Below are 25,949 nucleotides of genomic sequence, written 5' to 3'. Positions count from 1 at the left end.
AAAAAACCACTAGGGAGGCCAAGACAAGAGAGCTCAGAGTGTGCTGACTTCAATTGTGTCCTTTTCTGAGGAATCTCACGAGTCTGTTGTTTACTTCATCTTTGGAGACACCAAAAGGTAAAGAATCTACTCACTCCATAGGGAGAGTGGGGGAAGCTGGAAGAAACGGAATCATCCTTTAATTAGAGACTATTCAAATGATCACAGCTAGAACAGAAATGTACCAAGAATGAGTTTATTGCTAAAAATGAAACCAAATGGGATACAAAGAAATGCATCAAAAGCAACATATCAAAGGGTGTCATAAAGGATGAGGTAGCGTGTCATCCCAGGGTTCAGTGACCACTGCCATGTCTGTCTCCCCAGGTATGGAGGGAAAGGTGAGGGTCACCTCGTGGTGGGGTCACGTAGACTCCACAGCAAAGTTTAAATGCTGGAGGTTTGGTGAGAGCTATGGCTTCTGCCTTCAAAGCAAGAGAAAGAGGCACATTAACTGATGTTCTGAGGAGACCTGGAAAGGTGATTGTGGTGGATGAAACAGGAGAATAGGCAGAGACACAACTTCTGAGTATCTGAGAGAACTCAAGTTTGGCAAGACAAGTTGGGACGCTGTGATATTATGATATAATAAGAAATATGTGTTTGGTCTCTTCCCCCAGTTCCTGAGACAGTGCTCCTAAACCTTTGTAGACAGTGATGCTAGGAGAATCTTTTCTCTAATATTTGGTCTCTGATGAGGGTTCCTGACACAGAGCTCCAAAGATCTTTGTAATTTCCTGGATGATAGGAGTACCTTTTGTTCTAACTCTTGGTGGGTTCCTGGATAGCCTCAGCATGGGGGCAGGTTGCCAGCAGAACCCACCATGTGATTAGAGGGTTGGAAATTTCAGTCCAACCTCTCAACCTCTGGGGAGGGAGAGGGGTTAAATATTGAGTTGATCACCAACGGCCAATGTTGTAATCAATTCATGCCTATGTAATGGAGCCTCCATAAAAATCCAAAAGGACAAGGTTCAAAGAGCTCCTGGAGTGATGAACACATGGAGGTACCTGGAGGGTGGAGCACCCAGAGAGGGTAGGGAATCTCCATGCCCCTTCCCACGTATCTTACTCTGTGCATCTCTTCCATTTGGCTGTTCATCAAGTACTTTATGATAAACTAGTAAGGAAGCGTTTCCCTGAGGTCTATGAGCTCAACCCAAGGAGAGCATCATAGAAACCCTGACTTATACCTGGTTGGTCTGAAGTACAGGCAACAACCTGGGGGCTTGTGACTGGCATCTCTGCAGTGGAGGCAGTATTGTGGGGCTGAGCCCTTAACCTGCAGAGTCTGACTCTAATTCCAGGCAGTGTCAGAACTGAATCAAATTATAGGATATCCAGCTGGTGTCTGCTGGAGAATTGGTTGTTGGTGGGGAAAAATATCCCACACCTTTTGTTGATCAGAGGTCAAGTGTTCAGTGCTATGTGTTCTATGTGAGTAGGAACAACTGGGGTTTTTTGCATTTCTTACAGAATCACCATAGGACTAAGCTCGCCGCCCCCTGCCCCCCACCCGCCACCAAGATGTACTGTTTTTCCTTCTCTGCTGACATGTATCGATTACGCCAAGAGTTCCTAACCCTATGGCCTTAGGCTGCTTCAGCCAATGAGAGCCCAGCCAGAGATCAGAAGGAGGGAAGAGGGTGAGGTTTGGGTACTTACTTATTTATTGCCTGGCTGCCTCCCTGCAAGGTTGGCTCAGGCTGGCTTTGTCCCTGGACACAGTCCCACCCTGCCCTTCCAAAATGGCCAACTCTGTGTGCGTCTCTCTTCTCATCTAAACTGTTCCCTCCTTTGTTGTTATGGGCCAGGTGGGTAAAGGCTGGGGTGCTACTAAGCCCTGGGTCACTAGGTTTCCCACTGTGGCTCTCCTGTACCCCACCTTTCTAAATGAACCCTCCTTAAGCAACCCTTTTTTTAGGCCCCCCACCTTTCCTATCAGGGCGGTAACTAGTACAGACACCAGCAGTTCCTGGATCTTCTTTTCCCAGCCATCCTCGGGGGTCTGTGGAAAAAGACAAATTACTATTCAGTGGAACCGAAGAATGATTCCACCCGAAGAAAAGAAACAGTGACAAGAGAAGAAGCTTGCAAAGGTCTATGAAATGTGCCTCTAACTTCTCCTCTTTGAGTCACCATTGTACTTTTGAGTACAATACGTTAAAAATTAATGTTCACGGGCTTTTTAAATTGTTTGGAGTAATGGTATCTCCCTTAGACCAATAATTGAATTGCTTAATTGAGAACATAAATCTCCATTGTGAATACTGACATTTTCTCTTTAACAGCTATGTGCGTTCTATCCACTAGCCTGGGCCTCATTGTTTCTATATATGTGTCAGGTAAATGCTTTTAACACACAGCATTCCTCCCTCGGTAGGTACTAAGTAATAAAGGTTAAGTTGTTCTGAAAATGATTTTACATTTCTGTTTCAGCTATGAGTTAGTATCTGCTTATAAAATTAAGAATGATTCTAACCAGAACATCATTAATTAGTTTTCCAATGGCCCATTTGCTCAGGGACTCCATGCCTCTTGAACAAATTGCTCAGTTGTTCACAGAAAATGATATTCTGTTAGGTAGACTCAGGGAGGTGTCTGATTAATTCCTAAAATAGTGTGCTAGAGTAAAACTCTCAGCTATTAGCTCACAGATTTTTTTTAAATGAATTTAGTTATACATTAGAATACTAATTTTTTAAATTGTGGTATAATATTTTGGTTGTTCTGTTTATTTTCTTTGCCACAAGTTTTTCCAACTTTCCATAAATTAGAAACTAGAAATAAGGGAAGAGGCATAATTATCCCAAATAACTTTCTGTGGTTCTATTCAACAACCAGCTACCAGTTGAAATATGAAGCTGGGTCGGGCACAGTGGCTCACACCTGTAATCCTAGCACTTTGGGAGGCCGAGGCAAGCAGATTGCTTGAGCTCGCTCAAGAGTTCGACCCCAGCCTGGCAAACATGGTGAAACCCATCTCTACAAAAAACACAAAAATTAGCTGGTTGTGGTGGTGCACACCTATAGTCTAAACTACTCAGGAGGCTGAGGTGGAAGGATCACTTAAGCCCGGGAGGTCGAGGCTGCAGTGAGCTGAGATCACGCCACTGCCCTCAGCCTGGGTAACAGAGCTAGACCCTGTCTCAAATAAAAATAAAAATACATATTTTTTAAAAATATAAAAATATTTAAATTTTTTAAAAAGAAAAAAAGAAATACGAGGCTGAAAAGCACACATGTGCCTAACATAAGGGGTTGGGTTCCCCCGCCTTATCAAATTGCCCAGCAGCTGCCCAAGAAAAAAAGAATTGTTAATGACAGAATGAAAAGAAATAATTGCAACCAATCTGAATAAGCCAAATATAAAAACCCATGAAGATGTAAGAATAAGCGGGAAATTAACCAGAGGCTTGTGAGCATAAGGACATAAAAGGTAGTTAACAACATACAATACTGATTAAAAGAGTCAGGAAAAGGCAGATGAGGAACAAACCAAGTTACGGAGGGTCTAAGCTAAATTTTTGCCAATAACCAAGTTATTAGTACAAATTGCTGTTGCCCCATAGGTTGCAGAAGTGTCCAAAACCCTTGGCTCATGGCTGAGAATCTGGACAGAATGGCTCCCGTAGGAAGAATTTGGTTGTGCAAATGTTTAGTTTCTGCAATCAGGCATGGGTATAGTGTATAGAAAGCCCATTTCAGACCAGGCGTGTTGGCTCACACCTGTAATCCCAGCACTTTGGGAGGCCAAGGTGGGTGGATCACTTCAGGCCAGGAGTTCGAGACTAGCCTGTCGACCATGGTGAAACCCCATCGCTACTAAAAAATACAAAAAATTAGCCAGGTGTGGTGGCAGGCACCTGTAATCGCAGCTACTCAGGAGACTGAGGCAGGAGAATCGCTTGAACCTAGGAGGCAGAGGTTGCAGTGACCCAAGGTCACAACCACTGCACTCCAGCCTGGGCAACAGAGCGACACTCCATCTCCAAAAGAAAAAAAAAAAGAAAAAGAAAAAAAACCCATTTCAGGCCTACATTCATACACACACACATAGACACACAGTTTCATGACTCCAGATCTTTGCTGATGCCAGTTGTTTCTTCTTCCTGGAAGCGTCTTCCCTTCTTCCTTTGCCATTTAAATTCAGATTCATATTGATGACCCCCAAGAATTACTCTTCCTTCTATACTCTATTGTCTCCTCCTACCGGGGGGTGGGGAAGCAGGAGGAGATGTCCACAAATAGCAGAGGCCTCTTGGCAAATGGGTCATAGGTCCACTATGAACAAGCTCTGCTAGCCTCCTCATTCTACAGGGGATGAGTGCTCCCCCAGCCTCCTCCTCCTCAGCTTCTCTCTAGGGAGTACCTATGACTGAGCGACCTCTGACACTCGGTGCCTCCAGGGTAAGAAAGTTCCCTTCAGAAGAGCAGCTGACACAGCCATTATTGAGTATGTCTCTGCCTCTATCACCTCACGCCACTTCATACAGTCTCCTGGGATGAGCTCATAAGCCCAGCAAGACCATGAGCTCATCTTGAGATGAGGATATAAATGGACAGAAGACTCCACTCACAGAAGGGCTTTCACAGCTGCTATTCAGCATGGTCAGCCAAGAGAAGGCATGGAGTCTTACTGAGTGTCTATTACAGACAGCACGCTTCACAGATAATGTCTTCTTAAAGCCTATCAGCTAAAGCCTACTAGCAATACACACGCAGCCGAAGTTGAGGTTATTAGCTTGTTGCAGCAAGAGAGCACATATACAAGAGGAATCATGGAAAGCGAAAAGGTAAAAGTTAGGAAAGCGTACTCACTAAGACTGGGGAGCTGGAGTTAAAGGTTCTTGGCAGGGATTGGTCAGAATCTGGAAACTAGGGAGTTGCTAGAACAGTCAGTAATTTTATCTACAGAACGCAAAAGTTATGAGATGTACACCCATGTTCATAGCCACATTATTCATAATAGCCAAAAGGTAGAACCAATCCAAGTGTCCATTGACAGTTGAATGGATAAATAAAATGTGATATTTACATACTATGGAATATTATTCAGCCTTAAAAAGGAAATTCTGACACATGCTACACATGGATGAACCTTGAAGACATTATGCTAAGTGAAATAAACCAGACACAAAAAAGACAAATTCTGTATTATTCCTCTTATGTGAGGTACCTAGAATAGTCAAACTCATAAAGACAGAAAGTAGAATGGTGATTGCCAGGAGTTTGGAGGAGGGGAGAATGGGGAGTTATGTTTAATGGGTACAGAGTTTCATTTTTGTAAGATGAAAAGTTTTCTGTGGATGGATGGTGGTGGCAGTTGCTTAACAATGTGAACGGACTCAGTGCCACTGAACCGTATACTTAAAAATGGTTAAAATGGTAAATTTTATGTTATGTATACTTTACCACAATTTTTTTAAAAAGTCATGTGGAATGACTGTTAGATCAGTTTGTCTGATGTCCTCTCTAAAAAATACGGGTCTGCATGTGCTGATTAGAAGAGTTTGAGTTTAGACACTTTCTCCTGTATGTTGTGGCTTGGCTCGGTTTAACTGTTTTGCAAGTCACAGAGCAGATTTGCAAGATGTGATTTCTGTTTTAATTCTCAGTTCGCCCATCTCAGACTAGCTGTCAGCAGAGCTGTTTTTTACTTTCTCAATCTCATTTAGTTGTTTGCTTGTTTTGTTTATTTGTCTTAACAACTGAAAGCAGTACTAGATTCAAGATTCCAAACCCAAAGCTGCCAGAATTCTCACCGCGGACTTTTCTATCATAGGGGTCCCCCAAAGGTTAAAGTGGGTCTTTGAAATGGGCACAATCTGTCTGTTCCTAATACGTAACAGATGTAATTCCTTATCAACTATTCCAGGAACCCTAAAGTACTCAGATAAATATGGCATCACCTGATTTCCAGGACCTCACAGACTGAAAGGCAAAACATACACAGTTATGTGTAGGAAATATAATAAATCTAGAAGGTAAATGATCATATGCCCATGTTAAATATCTACATAATTATGATACTACTCACCTACATTTGGTTAGAATCCTTTCACAAGGAAGAGAATCTTTTTCTAGAGATGAGATGAGATTCAAAATTAAAATGGAACACTACTAGAAAATTTAATACATTCACTTAGATTTCTCTGAAGCATAAACGATGGTGTTAAAAGAGTAGATTTAGATAAAGCAGAGAAAGAAAGCAAAATAATTCCTAACAGATGCGTCATAATTTTTTCTGCAAAGGGCCAGAGAGTAAATATTTAAGGCCTTACAGGCCATATGCGGCCAAAGACAATATGTAAACAAATAAGTATGGCTGAATCCCAATAAAACTTTATTTATGAAGCTGAAATTTGAATTTAATGTAATTTTCACAGGTCATAAAATATTCTTCTTCTTAATTTTTTCCAACCATTTAAAAATGTAAAAACCATTTTTATCTCTCAGGCTGTAGAAACACGAGCAGCAGGCTGAATTTGGCCTGCAGCTATAATTTGCCAACCCCTGCTTTCAAGGCTGGCTTCTCCAAGTGTAAACCATAGTCTGGCAGCATCAGCAACACCCAGGAGCTTGTCAGAAATACAGAACCTCATGCCCAATCCCAGATCCGCTGAAGGAGAACCTGCATTTTCAACAACCATCATGTGTTTGTTTACGCAGTTTAAGGTCCACTCAGACTGATACGTGACTGTGGTCAATCCCTGTGCTTCCCAAGGAAGTGACCTTGGGAATGTTCTGAACCTCTCTGTGCCTCAGTTTCCCTACGTACAAGATAAAGATGGTAGCATTTTCTCCCTTAAGCATGGCTGTGAGAGTTCACACATGAATGCGCATGCACACACACACACACGGCTTAAAACAGTATTTGTCATTACTATAACAAAATCTTCTGTTATTTTCACAGCCACCCTCTGAAATAGGCAATGTTCACCTAATTTGACATAAGAAACTGTAGTCCAAAGAATACAGAAATTCATCTAGGATCGCAATTTAGTCCTGAGAATAATGATCAAAGGGACAAAAGGGGAACAAATGCCCCAGGCTCCCAGGTCTTCAAGCCCATGTTCCCCTCCCGGGGAACACTCTCCATAACCTCTCAGCTCATGCCCCTTAGATGGTCCCTAAAAATGCTTCTGCCACACAAGGATCTCCCCAAATCTGTACTCCAAGTTATACTTTCATTCCTTGAAATTTATTTTCCATTAAGTTGCATAGTGTTTTTTTTTTTACAACTTCTCTTTCTAGTTATAGATTGTAAATTTTTCCTTTCTTGAGTCTTGGAGCTGACCAGCTGTTTTTTATTATATTTGTAGGGCTCAGGGAAAAAAAAGGCAACTCCTTTATATGAGAATCCTGACATTTATTAGCATAATAAAACTCTCAAGATGAAATTGCAGTTTTCCAGACAGTAATTTCATTTGCAGGACAACTTACAAGGGATTTATTTTAAAGCCAGGTAAAAAGGTAAAACCTAAAATATATGAGACATGCAGAAATTGCAGGCCCCAAATAAAATGAAATAAATGTGTTAGGGATGGAAAACCCAGCTGTTGTCTCTCACATATTAATTAGGGGTGACAGGAACAACAGCCCAGGGATTCAGGGTCTCAACTCATCTCAGTCTGCTTTCAAAGCTGCTGGGAGTTCTTGGAACAGAAGTTGCCTCCAACACCTTGAAAATCATCACATCATATCCCCTGATACATCATGGGCTAAGCACTAAGTTGTTATTGTTATTGTGGTTGTTGTTAGAAATACCTTTTTCATTTGGACAGAGCTTTCATGTTTATCATTTAACTAACCCACAAAAAAACCTAGTGACGGCCATACAGAAAACTCCCTTTTCAGTCATACCGAGGTTTACTGAAGTTAAATGACTTGGACAAAGTCACATAGTTGGTAAATCAGAGAGCCAAAACTAAAACATCATTCCTCTGAGTCCATAGAAATAAGGCAATTTTAATGATAATTTTAATGATAATCAATGAAGGCACATTAGAGTTCAGAAAGCAGATTCCTTCCATCATTTCACTTTATGCATGTAGTGAGACAGGTAGACCGGGGGAAGCCATGGAGCTGAGTGAGTTGCAAAATTGATATTATTGAACACTTCTGTATAATGGGTTCTTATCCTGGATTCCCCAAAAGACAGAGCCTGTGGCAAAAGCTTATGAGCTGCTACTTCATTCAGAAGTGCAATCCCAGAGCAACAGGAGAGAGCAGGGCAAGGCAGAGAAGAATTAAAAACGGGGGCAGCAGGGTGTCATACTGATCCGGCCACCACTTGGTTTCATCATGACTGGTTGCTCGATCTTACAGGACTGTCTTCTACAAGACCATACAAACAGATGACTCTCAGAATAGTTCCTCCAGGAGGAAGAAGGAGGAAAAAGCGATCTACCAGCCTATGACTCCCATTCATCCCAGATTCACCACATCGGGCATTCACTTCCCATCTCTTCTGTCTTATGCCTCTGCAGCAATGGGAGATGGGGCATGTGGCAAGCTACCATTGGCTTATGCTCACATGACACTGATCAACATAGGGAGGAAGAGCAGAACCCACGCAAAACTGGTTATAGTGCTGGTGGCTTGTGGTAGAGAAGTGACCAAGAATCTAAGGAATAGGTGAGGCAAGAGAAGAAGTGGGGCATAGATGTTTGATACAGCCATCGGGTAAAGTAAATCGTTCCCTAACATTCCTAGAATCCATTCATTCTTTTCCTCTCACCAAACACAATGCTGCAAGCATTATAATGCTAGTAAGTTCCAGGGTTAGGATATGAACCCAAGTCTTCTTGACTGTAAAGACTGTAATCTTCTCTTCATCATATACTACCTCTGTGTATATGGCCATAACTGTGGAACACAAGTATGCACCAACAGATACCATCACTGAGAGTTATCGAGGAGTTATTGCGTGAGTCTTCTTGTTAATATAAGCAACATACTGAGATTAAGTTGACAAGGGAATTAAAAGGACAATGAGGACAGAGCTAATCATTGGAGTAACCTGCATAGAGAGGGCCACATCCCAGAGAGCAGAGGCCTCATCAGATTTCTAAGAACCATTCTTGCATTGATAACTCACCCCAGGTCTTGAAGACATCTGTAGGATGACATAAAACCATTGCAAAACCAAGGCCAAAATATGATTCAAAGATAGAGGCGAGTGGCAAAAGAAGAGGTTAAATAAGGAAGGCAGGACGGTGTCAATCAGCTGCCCTGGAAACTGGGGCTCACCTTAGATAATTCCAATGATAATATCAATGAGGGTGATAATGGAGATTATGAAAGATGCAGCATTTATGTCCTCCATAGAAATCCTTCATAATCTTCTATTATTGCCATGATTTTATAGAGTGGCGAGTAGGAAATAATTTACAAGAAACCACTGCTAATTTGTGTTGGAAAACTTTTAGAAGACATGCATTCATTCAACAAACATTTACTGAATGTCTACCATATGTTAAATTCAGGGTTCGGCACTGGAATTATTTTGGATTATTAAAACATGGTCCACGCACTGTAAGAGCTCGGTTTACGGCAGCCATGACAAACAGGCTTTGTCTTCTAAGGTCATAGCTAAGCTCTTCATGAAAGAGTTGCATGAGCTATTAGCAATTTCTGTCCCGATCGCTGGGATGAGACCAGTAGCCCTATGCCATAGATGTCATATCCCTTGAGGCATATTAATCTACTTTTTCCTTTGGATAGTGGTGGATCTTCCAGAAGGCCATAGGATTTGAGATGAGAAGTTCTTAAGCTGAGTTCAAAAACAGGATACCAAAATGAATCCAATTGATAAGGAAAAAAATTATTCAAACAACAGATGGTAGTCTGGTGGGCTGTCCCTCTGTCCGCAGGGTTCCTGAAGTAACTCTCCTCCTGAAACAGTGATAATTTCCTCCTAAAACAGAAAAAAAAGGAAAATCCACTTATAATCAAGACAGGGAAATACACATCTATGAGAGAGAGAGAGTGGTTCAAGACAGAGAAACTAAGAATATGCATTTGTCTCCTCTCATTCAGATTTCTAGAAATGACAGGAAAAAAGAGCTGCCTTTAAAAAGAAATAAATTCATAAAAAGTACTGGAAAAAAAAAAACTTTGTCATCGACAAAGTGAAACATATTCAAGAATCCCTGAAAAACAAAAGACATGCAGGAGGGGCTTGTCAGAGGAGTCAATGTGGGACACCAGTTACAGCAAGCCGAGGAAGAGTTGAGGGACTCCAGTAGGTGTTTGCCTCAAGCAGGTCGGGGAATGAGGAGACGCACACGGTTCCTTGGAAGCCCCAAGAGACCCAAAAAGTTCAGACAGTCCCACGCCCAAAAGATGAGCCACTCACGGTCAACTCCAACCCCTACAGCATGAAGACACTGAATTTGGGAAACAAGACTGTATCCACTCATGATAGACAGAAAATTTAAAGTTGGAAGATCGCTTCATAGCCTAAAATTTATAGGCATTTAAGCAAAATTATAACCATAAAAGAAAGAGGCTGAACTCAACAATAGAAATGATTTCCAGGAAAATATCAAGTCTATAAAGCAAACAGAAGAGGCTTTAAGAGATGTGCATTAATCTCTCCTCAGCGGAATAAGAAATAAGTCATCCATGAAACGAGAATGGGCATTATTTAAAAAAAAAAAAAGAACCACTTAAAGAACCTGGAAACCAAAAGCATGACCATTTAAATTAAAAGGAAAAAATTTCAGTAGAAGAACTGAAAAGCAGAATGCTCATAACTAAAAAGCAATTCAGCAGCTGAAAGAAATGTCACATCAAAAAGAAAGACACATCCTAATGGAAAAATGGACAAAGAATACGAAAGGATGATTCACAGAAGAAATCCAAGTGGCCGTGAAACGTGTGAAAAGATCCTCAGCATCAGTGGTAATCAGACAAATGCAAACTAAACCACAGTAGATTGTCTGCCCATCTGATGGAGAAAAATGAAATGATTGATAGGCCCCAGTGTTGGCAGCAGTGCGGGGAAACAGCCGCATATAGTTTTGGCAGGAGACTGAACTGGCACCATATTTTTGGAGGGCAATCTGGCAGATCTTTTCTAATTAAAATGTGCATACTCTTCTCTCCAGCAATTCCAGTTCCAGGACCCATCCTAGAGAAATACTGCACATGTATCCATAGTGACACACAGGGAAGTCTCTACAGCACTGTTCAAGATCATGAAAAATCGGAAGCCAGATAAGTGTCCATCAAAAGGAGAATGGGTAATTAAACTGTAATATGCATCCATACCATGGAATTCCACATGGCATTTACAAGGTTTGGTATACGGATTAACATAGGAAGAGCTCATAGATATATCTGAATGACAGCCAGCATGTCCTGAAATTACAAGTGTCAGGTATATTGTTTCAGCACTTCACACAGTGATGTTTCATTAAAACCTTACAGTGACCTGAAGAGTTGAGTGCTACTATTAAACCCACTTTACTAAGGTGGAAACTAAGGTGCAAAACCTAAATAGTCGTCCAAAGTCAAACACATAAGTTAGAATTTAAAACTCAGCAGCCTCATTCTAGGGACCATGCTTTTTAAAACTGCATTCAATTATTTAGTAAGCATGTTAAAAAATCAAGTCACTCATTTATATGTAAGGAAATATGCAACTTGGGCTGGGTGTGGTGGTGCATGCCTGTAGTCCCAGCTACTAGGGATGCTGAGGTGGGAGGATCACTTGAGCCCAGGATCTTGAGGTTACAGTGAGCTATGATCGCACCACTGCACTCCAGCCTAAGCAACAGAGTAAGACCTTGTCTCAAAAAAGACTACCCAACTTATGTGGAAAATAACAAAACTATATATTTCCTTATATACATAAGTTTTTATGTTACTGCTCAGGAGATACTTAGATAAGATACATGGCAAATTGATAATCAAAGTAGAGGACAGAAATAGAGACTTGAAATGAATGAGGCTTTCACTTTGTATTGTATTTGATTTTTCTTAGAATGTAATCATGAACTAATTGTGTAATTAAAATTTTAATTGATAGAAGTTGGCCACCAGATCTCCACATTGGCATAAATGATATCTCTCCTTAGTGTTAGAAATGAAACTGTGAGTCTCAAAGGTTTTGATGTGGAAGAGAATAAAGATCTTCAGAGATCTCTGGTCTAGCCTTTCTCTGGAATCTGTCCTGAGTGAGGAGCATTTATCCTTTGCTTGAAACACTTCCAGGGACAAGGAGCTCATCATTGCTAAAGCAGCTTCTATTATACAGGAAAAGCAAACAATATGGTTTAGTGGAAAAAGTACATTCTTTAGAGGCAAACAGCCTGAGGCTTAACTCTTGGTCCTAACCATGAAAACTTAGCCCTGGTTTCCTAATCTGTGAAATGGGGTTAAGATGCCTCCCTCAGGCGTCTGCCATTGCTGGGCTTGAGTAGGTAAACAAAGTGGATGGGGAAGCTCGAACTGGGTGGAGCCCACCACAGCTCAGCAAGGCCTGCTGCCTCTGTAGACTCCACCTCTGTGAGCAGGGCATAGCTGAACAAATGGCAGCAGAAACTTCTGCACTTAAACGTCCCTGTCTGACAGCTCTGAAGAGAGCAGTGGTTCTCCCAGCATGGTGTTTGAGCTCTGAGAACAGACAGACTGCCTCCTCAAGTGGATACCTGACCCCTGTGTAGCCTAACTGGAAGACACCTCCCAGTAGGGGCTGACTGACACCTCATACAGGCAGGTGGCCCTCTGGGATGAAACTTCGAGAGGAAGGATCAGGCAGCAATATTTGCCATTCTGCAGCCTCTGCTGGTGATACCCAGGCAAAGAGGGTCTGGAGTGGACCTCCAGCAAACTCCAACAGACCTGCAGCTGAGGGACCTGACTGTTAGAAGGAAAACTAACAAACAGAAAGGAATAGCATCAACATCAACAAAAAGGACATCCACACCAAAACCCCATCTGTAGGTCACCAATATTGCAACCAAAGGTAGATAAAACCACAAAGATGGGGAGAAACCAGAGCAGAAAAGCTGAAAATTCTAAAAACCAGAGCGCCTCTTCTCCTCTAAAGGATCGCAGCTCCTCAGCAGCAACAGAACAAAGCTGGAGGAAGAATGACTTTGACGAGTTGACAGAAGTAGGCTTCAGAAGGTCAGTAATAATAAATTTCCCCGAGCTAAAGGAGGATGTTTGAACCCATCGCAAGGAAGCTAAAAACCTTGAAAAAAGATTAGACAAATGGCTAACTAGAATAAACAGTGTAGAGAAAACCTTAAATGACCTGATGGAGCTGAAACTCATGGCATGAGAACTGTGTGATGCATGCACAAGCTTCAATAGCCAATTTGATCAAGTGGAAGAAAGGGTATCAGTGATTGAAGATCAAATTAATGAAATAAAGCGAGAAGAGAAATTTAGAGAAAAAAGAGTAAAAAGAACCGAACAAAGCCTCCAAGAAATATGGGATTATGTGAGAAGACCAAATCTACGTCTGATTGGTGTGCCTGAAAGTGACGAGGAGAATGGAACCAAGTTGGAAAACACTCTTCAGGATATTATCCAGGAGAACTTCCCCAACCTAGCAAGGCAGGCCAACATTCAAATTCAAGAAATACAGAGAACACCACAAAGATACTCCTCGTGAAGAGCAACCCCAAGACACATAATTGTCAGATTCACCAAGGTTGAAATGAAGGAAAAAATGTTAAGGGCAGCGGGAGAGAAAGGTCGGGTTAACCTCAAAGGGAAGCCCATCAGACTAACAGCTGATCTCTAGGCAGAAACTCTATAAGCCAGAAGAGAGTGGGGGCCAATATTCAACATTCTTAAACAAAAGAATTTTCAACCCAGAATTGCATATCCAGCCAAACTAAGCTTCATAAATGAAGGAGAAATAAAATACTTTACACACAAGCAAATGCTGAGAGATTTTGTCACCACCAGGCCTGCCCTAAAAGAGCTCCTGAAGGAAGCACTAAACATGGAAAGGAACAACCAGTACTGACCACTGCAAAAACATCCCTAATTATAAAGACCATCGATGCTACGAAGAAACTGCATCAACTAACAGGCAAAATAACCAAATAACCAGCGAACATCATAATGACAGGATCAAATTCACACATAACAATATTAACCTTAAATGTAAATGGACTAAATGCCCCAATTAAAAGACACAGACTGGCAAATTGGATAAAGATCAAGACCCATCAGTGTGCTGTATTCAGGAGACCCATCTCACATGCAGAGACACACATAGGCTCAAAATAAAGAGATGAAGGACGATCTACCAAGCAAATGGAAAGCAAAAAAAGCAGGGGTTGCAATCCTAGTCTCTGATAAAACAGACTTTAAACCAACAAAGATCAAAAGAGACAAAGAAGGCCATTACATAATGGTAAAGGGATCAATTCAACAAGAAGAGCTAACTATCCTAAATTTATATGCACCCAATACAGGAGCACCCAGATAAAGCAAGTCCTTAGAGACCTACAAAGAGACTTAGACTCCCACACAATAATAATGGGAGACTTTAACACCCCCTGTCAATATTAGACAGACCAATGAGACAGAAGGTTAATAAGGATATCCAGGACTTGAACTCAGCTCTGCACCAAGCAGGCCTAATAGACATCTACAGAACTCTCCATCCCAAATCAACAGAATATACATTCTTCTCAGCACCACATTGCACTTATTCCAAAATTGACCACACAGTTGGAAGTAAAGCACTCCTCAGCAAATGTAAAAGAACAGAAATCACAACAAACTGTCTCTCAGACCACAGTGCAATCAAATTAGAACTCAAGACTAAGAAACTCACTCAAAACTGCACAACTACATGGAAACTGAACAACCTGCTCCTGAATGACTACTGGGTACATAACGAAAAGAAGGCAGAAATAAAGTTGTTCTTTGAAACCAATGAGAACAAAGACACAACGTACCAGAATCTCTGGGACACATTTAAAGCAGTGTGTAGAGGGAAATTTATAGCACTAAATGCCCACAAGAGAAAGCAGGAAAGATCTAAATCAACACCCTAACATCACAACTAAAAGAACTAGAGAAGCAAGAGCAAACAAATTCAAAAGCTAGCAGAAGGCAAGAAATAACTAAGATCAGAGCAGAACTGAAGGAGATAGACACACAAAAAACCCTTCAAAAAATCAATGAATCCAGGAGCTGGTTTTTTGAAAAGATCGACAAAATTGATAGACCACTAGCAGGACTAATAAAGAAGAAAAGAGAGAATAATCAAATAGACGCAATAAAAAATGATAAAGGGGATATCACCACCGATCCAACAGAAATACAAACTACCGTCAGAGAATACTATAAACACCTCTAGGCAAATAAACTAGAAAATCTAGAAGAAATGGATAAATTCCTAGACACATACACCCTCCCAAGACTAAACCAGGAAGAAGTTGAATCACTGAATAGACCAATAACAGGCTCTGAAATTGAGGCAATAATTAATAGACTACCAACCAAAAAAAGTCCAGGACCACACGGATTCACAGCTAAATTCTACCAGAGGTACAACGAGGAGCTGGTTCCATTCCTTCTGAAATTATTCCAATCAGCAGAAAAAGAGGGAATCCTCTCTAACTCATTTTATGAGGCCAACGTCATCCTGATACCAAAGCCTGGCAGAGACACAACAAAAAAAGAGAATTTTAGACCAATATCCCTGATGAACATCGATGGGAAAATCCTCAATAAAATACTGGCAAACTGAATCCAGCAGCACATCAAAAAGCTTATCCACCACGATCAAGTCAGCTTCATCCCTGGGATGCAAGGCTGGTTCAACATACGCAAATCAATAAATGGAATCCATCACATAAACAGAACCAATGACAAAAACCACATGATTATCACAATAGATGCAGAAAAGGCCTTTGACAAAATTCAGCAGCCCTTCATGCTAAAAACTCTCAATAAACTAGGTACTGATGGAACATATCTCAAAATAATAAGAGCTATTTATGACAAACCCACAGCCAATATCATACTGAATGGGCAAAAACTGGAAGCATTCCCTTTAAAAACTGGCACAAAACAGGGATGCCCTCTCTCACCACTACAATTCAATATAGTGTTGGAAGTTCTGGCCAGGGCAATCAGGCAGGAGAAAGAAATAAAGGGTATTCAATTAGGAAAAGAGGAAGTCAAATTGTTCCTGTTTGCAGATGACATGACTGTATATTTAGAAAACCCCATCATCTCAGCCCAAAATCTCCTTAAGCTGATAAGCAACTTCAGCAAAGTCTCAGGATACAAAATCAATGTGCAAAAATCACAAGCATTCCTATACACCAATAACAGACAAAACAGAGAGCCAAATCATGAGTGAACTCCCATTCATAATTGGTACAAAGAGAATAAAATATCTAGGAATCCAATTTACAAGGGATGTGAAGGACCTCTTCATGGAGAACTCAAAACCACTGCTCAACGAAATAAAAGAGGACACAAATGGAAGAACATTCCATGCTCATGGATAGAAAGAATCAATATCATGAAAATGGCCATACTGCCCAAGGTAATTTATAGATTCAATGCCATCCCCATCAAACTACCAATGACTTTCTTCACAGAATTGGAAAAAACCACTTTAAAGTTCATATGGAACCAAAAAAGAGCCTGCATTGCCAAGACAATCCTAAGCAAAAGAACAAAGCTGGAGGCATCACACTACCTGACTTCAAACTATACAACAAGGCTACAGTAACCAAAACAGCATGGTACTGGTACCAAAACAGAGATATAGACCAATGGAACAGAACAGAGGCCTCAGAAATAACACCACATATCTACAACCATCTGATCTTTGACAAACCTGACAAAAACAAGAAATGGGGAAAAGATTCCCTATTTAATAAATGGTGCTGGGAAAACTGGTTAGCCATAAGTAGAAAGCTGAAACTGGATCCCTTCCTTATACCTTATACAAAAATTAATTCAAGATGGATTAAAGACTTAAACATTAGACCTAAAACCATAAAAACCCTAGAAGAAAACCTAGGCAATACCATTCAGGACATAGGCATGGGCAAGGACTTCATGACTAAAACAACAAAAGCAATGGCAACAAAAGCCAAAATAGAAAAATGGGATCTATCGAACTAAAGAGCTTCTGCACAGCAAAAGAAACTACCATCAGAGTGAACAGGCAAGGGAGAAAATTTTTGCAATCTACCCATCTGACAAAGGGCTAATATCCAGAATCTACAGAGAACTTAAACAAATTTACAAGAAAAAAAACAAACAATCCCATCAAAAATTGGGCAAAGGATATGAACAGACATTTCTCAAAAGAAGACATCTATGCAGCCAACAGACACATGAAAAAATGCTCATCATCACTGGTCATCAGAGAAATGCAAATCAAAACCACAATGAGATACCATCTCATGCCAGTTAGAATGGTGATCATTAAAAAGTCATGAAACAACAGATGCTGGAGAGGATGTGGAGAAATAGGAACACTTTTACACTGTTGGTGGGACTGTAAACTAGTTCAACCTTTGTTGAAAACAGTGTGGCGATTCCTCAGGGATCTAGAACTAGAAATACCATTTGACCCAGCGATCCCATTACTGAGTATATACCCAAAGGATGATAAATCATGCTACTATAAAGACACATGCACACGTATGTTTATTGCAGCACTATTCACAATAGCAAAGACTTGGAACCAACCAGAATGTCCATCAATGATAGACTAGATTAAGAAAATGTGGCACATACACACCATGGAATACTATGCAGCCATAAAAAAGGATGAGTTCCTGTCCTTTGCAGGGACATGGATGAAGCTGGAAACCATCATTCTCGCAAACTATCACAAGGACAGAAAACCAAACACCGCATGTTCTCACTCATAGGTGGGAAGTGAACAATGAGAACACTTGGACACAGGGCAGGGAACATCAGACACTGGGGCCTGTTGTGCGGTTGGGGGAAGGGGGAGTGATAGCATTAGGAGAAATACCTAACGTAAATGACGAGTTAATGGGTGCAGCAAACTAACATGGCACATGTATACCTGTGTAACAAACCTGCAGGTTGTGCACATGTACCCTAGAACCTAAAGTATAATTTAAAAAATGAACAAAATAAATAAATAAAAAGATGCCTCCCTCACAGATCTATTGGTAAGATTAAATAAGAGCATGGATGTAGAGCAATAGGTTCAGTGCTTGACACAGAGAATGTGTCAATGTCCTCACATCCCCTCCCTTTCGCTTTCCTCTGTTAGAAGGCTCTTTCCAACACGTAGAAATCAACCTTGATCCTGGTTAGTCCAGTTTCCAGGCAGTACTCCACACTCAGTGCCCGAGTATCTGTGAATAGGTGATTCTCCATGTGTATTATTCATAAGGTCAAGGGCTGTCCCTGAATTTCTAGGGACTTCCATGAAGAGACAAAGAGAAAGCAATACAAACCTAAGAGTCCCTATTATACCAAAACCCCAGTGAGACCGTCAAGTCATTCTGTGAAACCATCTACACCCACAAAGCTTGGTTAGATGTCGGACGCCGGAGCTACCACCACTCTGCCCCTCGGAATCCTTCGTCCTGCCCTTCCAGGTCACTGAGTTCCACCTCTGGCTTTCTCCCAGTTACTAATGATGCCAACGGCCACACGAACATAAACGTTGCTTCTTACTACATACACTGCTTGGAAGACAACATCTTTTCCAATATAGGGTCCATGGCAGGAGGACAAATAACAAAAAGAATGCTGAGAAACAAGACTTTCCATAAGCACTTCACAGTCACAAAGCGCTGCTCTGTACTTGACTTCATTTAATGCTCACAGGGTCCGAGCTAAGTATTATTCACATCCATTTGCCTGGCTAGGACGCTGACGTTTGGTGAGACTAAGGTGCTGGCTCAAGGTCACACATGTACTAAGTGGTTAAGCTGGAGTTCAAATAAGAGACATGGTAACTCCACCACTAGAAAAGCTTCTCTAATCACAGGGTTGCCTACTGCACTTCAGCTAACTCTCAGAAGCTGCTAGAGGTCTGGCTTGGAGGTCCTCATGAGAGACGTTCTTGGGAATGAGTTGGAGATGAGACCCAGGCTTGGAGAAAGGGATGATCATCCAGTCCTTGTGTTAACAGGAGGGAGCACTCAGGTACCCAAGGTGAGAAGAGGCCTGAGGACCAGGGTGAGAGGTGCCCGCATGCCCCAGAGAGTGAAGCAGAGAGCAGAACAGTGGGCCCTCGGGCCCCGTGTGGACAACCTCTGGTCTCTTCTGCCCTGATGCTCTACATCTCTGAGACCCTCCAGCCCCACTGCCCAGAGCCAGCAGCCTTGCTTCTCTTGCTCTAGCTCTCTCTTCAGCTCCAATTTCCACCAGTTCCCCCTCCCCCCCATTAGTATCCCTGTGAGGGATACCTTATGGAAATCAACGAGATCCGTGAGCGTTGCATGGCGATTGGGGTCCACTCCCAGGAAGCTGTAAAAATCCCCAGAAGCATCCACAAGAAAGTGTTTGAACCCTTTCTGCAGGCGGTAGGAGAGGGTGTAACCCCAGATTTTCTCACTGACCCGGACCAGGAATGCTCCCTCAGTCATGTTCTCCAGGAGAGCTTCTGCATCTTCTCGGCTAATAATTCCTGATTTAAAATAGAAAAAAACAAAAAAACACAGCAGGTTCTGCGACTGCCTCCCCCACGATTCTCCACTCCTCCCTGCCCCTCACCCTGTGGCTCAGTGCACATGCCATCCACACAGTCCAGGGTGGCAGGAAGGAAAGAGCCCCAAGGGCTGGCCAAGCACATGCCTCCTTCCACAGAGAGGGCATCTTGGCCCAGCGCCACCCGCCGTGAGCCTGGGGGCAGAGTTTCTACTAGGACGTGAGTTGAGCATGCTTTCCTCCACATTGAGCCAGGGTGATTTGGATTAATTGGGTAAGCAAGGAATTAGTAGTGAGCTGTGATTATAGCATTATTGATTATAAATATAAGTCAACAGGCTTGTGAAAAGCCTTAAGAGGCCTGCTTTAAAGACTAGTCCAGAATGGCTGCTGATGACTAACTCACTTATTTCTCTAGTACCATAAATAAGCACCTAAAAATAGGGGTTTCCCTTAAAAAGTAAAAAGACTTCTTCCAAATACCTGTGGACACCAGGCAAAAAGTTTCTTAATAGGGGCATAGAATCAAGCTTCACTTCAGCTCAGAGATCAAAACTTTCTAAGGACTTGCACTCCTACACAATGCAGTTTCATCACAATTTGGAATTCTGGTTGGCCTTGGAGTCGTTGATATGCTGGTAGCAATCCCCTGAAATGCTCTCAGGAAGCCGCTGTCATCTGGGTGATATAGGAGGCGTGATGTAGAACAGGTTCCAGAGGCAAGTAGGTGGGAAGAGGAGGGGAAGCCAGAAGACCTGGATTACCCCCACCCCCGACCTCTGCCAACCTGGCTATGGAATTTCCAGCCAAGCCCTCAAGGTCTCCAGTGTCCTTTGACATTTAGATGATCATAACCCAAATACTTAGAAGGTATGTTATGACTTTCAAGTTGAATAAAGTATTCAAACTCATTTCATACATAGAGAATAGCTGTGGAGATGCTGGATCCTGTTAGCATCTGTTATTCTGGAGGAGAGGTGAATTGCAACACATTGTCCCTTTGCTCACCCATGGACTTACCCTTTCCACACTATCAGTGACAGGCATGGGGACAGAGTGGCTGGGCTGCCCATCTCCATGACCCTGAGAGGCTCAGCACACCTGTGACTTCTCCCCAATCCCCGAAGCCACTCCCGAGCGAGCCGCAGTCAGGCTCCCCTCCCATCACTCTCCTGCCTCCCAGGGCACACTCGAGACTTCCCTTGTGCCCAAGGCATAGGACACAGAGGCAACCACACTGCCAAATGCTGCACCCTTTAAAGACAATTGGCGCAACCAGGGGCCACCTATTTCCTCCTTGCCCAGGATTTACAGCAAGAGGCATCCAAGCCAGCCACCCCTCCCCAGCCAAGCTCTACAAGCAGAAAAGGAAGAAGAGTAAGACAAGGAAGGAAGTGAGGAGCCCTTTCGCCACAGGACACCTGAAAAATAAACACTGGCCCATGCAAGAGGGAGGATGCACCCCGCTGCTTCCCCCCAGAAGGCCTTGGGGGCTTCATGCAAAAAAGTAGGGACAGACAAAAGAGGACCGGAAGGGAAAGTCCAGGATCCCTCAAAAGTTGGCACTGTCCTTCACCTACCTCCCTGCCCCAACACCAGAACACCCGGGCCCTAAAAGAGGCTGCAGCAGGGAGATAAGTAAGGGGGGCCAGACGCAGGGCCAGGGCCTGGGAGGAAGAGGGACCAGAAGATGTCACCCTCATCCCCACTCCAAGCACCTCAAGCTGATATGGTAGCGGGGCTAGGGTTGGAGAGGAGGGGAGTGTTACTAGGGTGGGAGACTACAGTCAAATTATATACGATTCAACTTTTTTTCTTTTAAACAAGTATCTTTATTGTAACGTTTATTACTTTTTCATTGATGAATAAAAATTATATATATTTATGGTGTACATGACATTTTGATATATGTATGCACTGCGGGATGGCTAAATCAATCTACTTAAGATTAACATACGCTTTACCTCACATATTTTTTGTGGTAAGAACACTTAAAAATCTACCCTCTTGGCTGGGTATAATAGCTCAGACCTGTAATCTCAGCACTTTGGGAGACTGAGGTGGGAGGATCACCTGAGCCCAGTAGTTCAAGATCAGCCTGGGCAACATAGCCCATGTTGTTGTCTCCACACTTTTTGTGGAGACAACTATCTCCACAAAAAAATTAAAAATAACTTGGGCATGAAGATGCTACACCCACTTGGGAGGCCGAGGCAAGAGGATCATTTGTGCCCAGAAGTTCAAGGCTGCAGTGATGTGTGATCATGCTACCATACTCTAGCCTGGGTGACAGAGCAAGACCCCGTCTCAAACAAACAAACAAAAACTCTCTTGGCAATTTTCAAGTATATAATATATCATTAATTGTAGTTACCAAGCTGTACAATAGATCTCTTGAACTTATTCCTCCTGTCTAAATGAAATGTTATGTCCTTTGACCAACATCTCCCCAGTGCCTGCCTCTCCCAGCCCCGGTAACCACCATTCCACTTTCTGCTTCTGTAAGTTCAATGTTTTTAGATTCCACATATAAGTGAGATCATGAGGTATTTGTCTTTCTGTGCCTGACTTATTTCACTTAGCATAATGTCCTCTAGGTTCATCCATGTTGTCACAAATGACAGGATTTCATTCTTTTTAAAGGCCAAATACTATTCCATTGTGCACATACACCACATCTCTTTATCCATTCAACTGTTAATAGACATTTAGGTTAGGCCTGGTGTGGTGGCTCATGCCTATAATACCAGCACTTTAGTAGGCCAAGGTGGGAGGATCGCTTGAGCCCAGGAATTCAAAACCAGCCTGGGCAACATAGCAAGGCCCTGAATCTACAAAAACATAAAAAATTAGTTGGGCATGGTGGCACATGCCTGTGGTCCCAGCTACTCAAGAGGCTGAGGTGAGAGAATCACATGAGCCCAGGAATTCAAGGCTGCAGTGAGCTATGATCATGCCACTATACTCTAGCCTGGAAAACAGAGCAAGGCTCTATTTCAAAAATACATTAATAAATAAACAAACACTTCCATTGATTCCCTATCTTGGCTATTGTGAATAATGCTACAATCAACATGGCAGTATAGATATCTCTTCGACATACTGATTTCATATCCTTTGAATAAATACCCAGTAATGGGGTTGCTGAGATTATGGGGTACTTCTATTTTAATTTGTATTTTCATGCTTTAAGAGAATGTGCAAGGGGTCTCTTTCCTCCAACACTTGCCAACACGTTATTTTGTGGACTTGACTTTTAACATGCCAAAACGACCAGTAATACCAAAGTGACGATGTTATGTGTCTCACCCACCTAAAACCCTTGAGCAGCTTCCCCTGACTTCCAGCAGAGCCCAGGCTCAGGCACAGCAGACAGCAGGCTCTATGCCCCGCCTCAACCTACCCCTCTGGGCTCATCGCACTGTTTGGTACTGGCTGCTCCCCACAAGCCGACCTTGGACTGAGGCCACATCCCAGCCCCCTTCACTCCAGCTGACCCTGACTCCTCATTGAAAGCCCCATCCTCTTCTCTCCCCAGAATCATGGGCTATGGGCAGCCTACACTCTACCTTTGTGCAAGTTAGGAAAAGATGACCTGAGTAACTGAATTAGAAAAATGTGCCTCTCTGGGCCAAAACCACAAAGCCTATAGCTTGATTGGGAAAGGCAGTGCCTGCACATCAATCCTCTGTTCTCCCCAACTATCCCCACCCCTCAGGTCCCCCAGTTCAGTGTGCAACCTGCTCAGCTGATCAGGAAATCCTTTATCTCCCAGGAGACTGTCTTGGATATCCCACATTTGGGTTTTCACAACATCCTGCCAAAACCCCACAGTAGATTAGTAAATAGGCTATGAGCCGCTCAAGGCTGGGGCCTGTGGCTGCCATGGGAGCAAGCAGCCCAGGCCTCCCTCCAAGACAGAGACCTGTTGCTGGGAGCAGCATCATGCCCTTCAGGATCCTCCATGGGGTCATGTTCTCCCTAGGGTGCTTCCAGTCAAGGGCAGGGCACAGGGGTACTAGAGCCACCATTCCTACCCAAAGCAAGATTCCTCTAGCAGGCAGTCTTTGCTCTGGGGCTCTCAATCAGCCTGGCCAAGATTTTTCTCTGAGCTGTACTCCAGGAGCAGGCTCACTTACCAATCATCCTTCTTCCCTCTCTCCCTCCACAGGTGTCAGATGTGTACCGTGTTCTGAAGACTCTCCCCACCTTCTCCAGCACCCTCCCCCTTTGTCCTTCACAGGCATTTCCTCCAATCAGTCTTTCGTCTTCTGCTTCATGGAAGACCTGACGGACACAGACAACTCATCTTTACATCCTCCATGCCTGGGACATTGGCAGGGATTCTGCAGCAGTGATGAAGAGCATGGACACAAATCATAACCCGGGACTTGTTCCATGGGTAGCCTTGAGAGCAGGTGACTTCAACCTCTCTGAAACCGAGTTTGAGGTCCTCATCTATTAAGTGGTATTGATATTAATAGCTATGTCTTACGGCTGTTTGAGAATGAATAAGTTAATGCATGAATACGTTTAGCACAGTGCTTAAAAATCACAATAAATATCTAATACAATATAACTAGCTGCATTGGATGCACTAAGTATTCTACACATGTGTTAGTGCTGCAAACTGCCTGGTGCTGGTAGCTGCAATGGTCACAGGACTGTCAGGCTGTGTCCCCCACCACAACCCCTGACACACACACACTCAATTCTCTCAAACATAGGCTGCTGAAGGTGACTTCAGCACCATAAACTTAGCTGGGCCATTTCTGGGAGACTGTCTAGGTCTCTGTGAATTCTGCCTCCTTTTTGATATTGCTGATATAGTTTGGATGTGTGTCCCCTCTAAATCTCATGTTGAATTATCATCTGCAGTGTTGGAGGTAGGGCTAGTGGGAGGTGATTTCTCACAAATGGTTTAGCACCATCTCCTTGATGCCATCCTCAGGATAGTGAGTGAGTTCTTGTGAGATCTGGTTGTTTAAAAGTCTGTAGGATCTTCCCCCTCACTCTCTCTCTCTTGCATCCCCTCTCGCCATGTGATATGCTGGCTTCCCCTTTGCCTTCCACCATGGATAGGAAGCTTCCTGAGGCCTCATTGGAAGCCGAGCAGATGCTAGGGCCATATTTCCTGTACAGCCTATAGAACTGGGAGTCTATTAAACCTCTTTTCTATATATTAGTAAGTTACCCAGTCTTGGGTATTTCTTTTTCTTTTTCTTTTTTTTTTTTGAGATAGAGTCTCGCTCTGTCACCCAGGCTGGGGTGCAGTGACACGATCTCGGCTCACTGCAACCTCCACCTCCCAGATTCAAGCAATTCTCCTGCCTCAGGCTCCTGAGTAGCTGGGATTACAGGCATGCGCCACTATGCCTGGCTAATTTTTGTATTTTTAGTAGAGACGGGCTTTCACCATGTTGGTCAAGCTGGTGGTGGTCAAACTCCTGACCTCATGATCCACCCGCCTCAGCTTCCCAAAGTGCTGGGATTACAGGCATGAGCCACCACGCCTGGCCAGGTATTTCTTTATAGCAATGCAAGAATGGCCTAATACATTTGCCTAGAAATCAAAATTGCAATTTGGCACAAAACCAAAGGTAATATAACCTCATAGTTCAGGATAGCAAACAGCATTCCATAGAAAACCCAACCCCTCAAGAGAATTAGCATAGGATGCTTGCAAGGAGAATCTATGTTTTCCTTCCCCATTCACTTTGCCCTCTGTATAAGTCCGTTTTCATGCTCCTGATAAAGACATACTTGAGACTAGGCAATTTAAAAAAGTTTATCGAACTTACAGTTCCACATGGCTGGGGAGGCCTCACAATCATGGCAGAAGGCAAGGAGGAACAACTCACATCTTACGTGGATGGCAGCAGGCAAAAAGAGGAGCTTCTGTGGGGAACCTCCCCCTTATAATACCAACAGATCTCATGAGACTTATTTGCTATCACGAGAATAGCACAGGAAAGACCTGCTTCCATTACTCAAATTACCTCCCACTGGGTCCCTCCCGAACACGTGGGAATTCAAGATGAAATTTGGGTGGGGACACAGCAAAACCATATCACCCTCTGATCTCTCTCTCCCCCTGGATTGCCTCTCAGCCAACTACAGAGGGTCTGGGAATTAAGCATGAATCATCACCCACCTCTGCTTCTTCTGAGCACCCTACAACCTCCTGGCTGAGGAAACAGGGGAAGGCCCTACCTCACCCCTTCCAGCTGGGGAGCTAGCATACTGTCCGAGTCCTTGAA

The 25,949-nt window shown here is 42.9% G+C and overlaps 1 protein-coding gene and 2 long non-coding RNA genes across 5 annotated transcripts in view; 1 reads left to right on the top strand and 2 right to left on the bottom strand.

The window, feature by feature from the left end:
- Positions 1 to 219: 219 nt before the first annotated feature.
- On the bottom strand, positions 220 to 4,157 carry LINC02655 (long intergenic non-protein coding RNA 2655). Its single transcript, NR_155749.1, has 3 exons — positions 4,106 to 4,157; positions 1,973 to 2,047; positions 220 to 464 (listed from the first exon to the last, which is right to left on the bottom strand). It is a non-coding gene; the product is annotated as a long intergenic non-protein coding RNA 2655 (long non-coding RNA).
- Positions 4,158 to 4,610: 453 nt separating this feature from the next.
- LOC105378387 (uncharacterized) lies at positions 4,611 to 24,268 on the top strand. The gene is made up of 2 exons (XR_946132.1): positions 4,611 to 4,835; positions 23,861 to 24,268. It is a non-coding gene; the product is annotated as an uncharacterized LOC105378387 (long non-coding RNA).
- The window catches only part of SH2D4B (SH2 domain containing 4B), a 108,659-nt gene continuing 90,103 nt past the window's right edge, over positions 7,394 to 25,949 (bottom strand). For 2 of the 3 annotated variants that reach the window (NM_207372.2, NM_001145719.1), the window contains exon 7: positions 7,394 to 9,961. In NM_207372.2, the coding sequence (NP_997255.2) occupies positions 9,873 to 9,961 (89 nt within the window). In that variant the 3' untranslated portion in view covers positions 7,394 to 9,872. Of the gene's footprint in view, positions 9,962 to 19,448; positions 19,670 to 25,949 lie in introns of all 3 variants that reach the window. The other variant, NM_001388272.1, reaches the window with a different exon arrangement.

The sequence above is a fragment of the Homo sapiens genome, chromosome 10 (genome assembly GCF_000001405.40).
Source record: "Homo sapiens chromosome 10, GRCh38.p14 Primary Assembly".
NCBI lineage: Eukaryota > Metazoa > Chordata > Mammalia > Primates > Hominidae > Homo > Homo sapiens.
The sequence above is the reverse complement of the archived record's forward strand: the minus strand, read 5'-3'. Positions and strand labels throughout refer to the sequence as shown.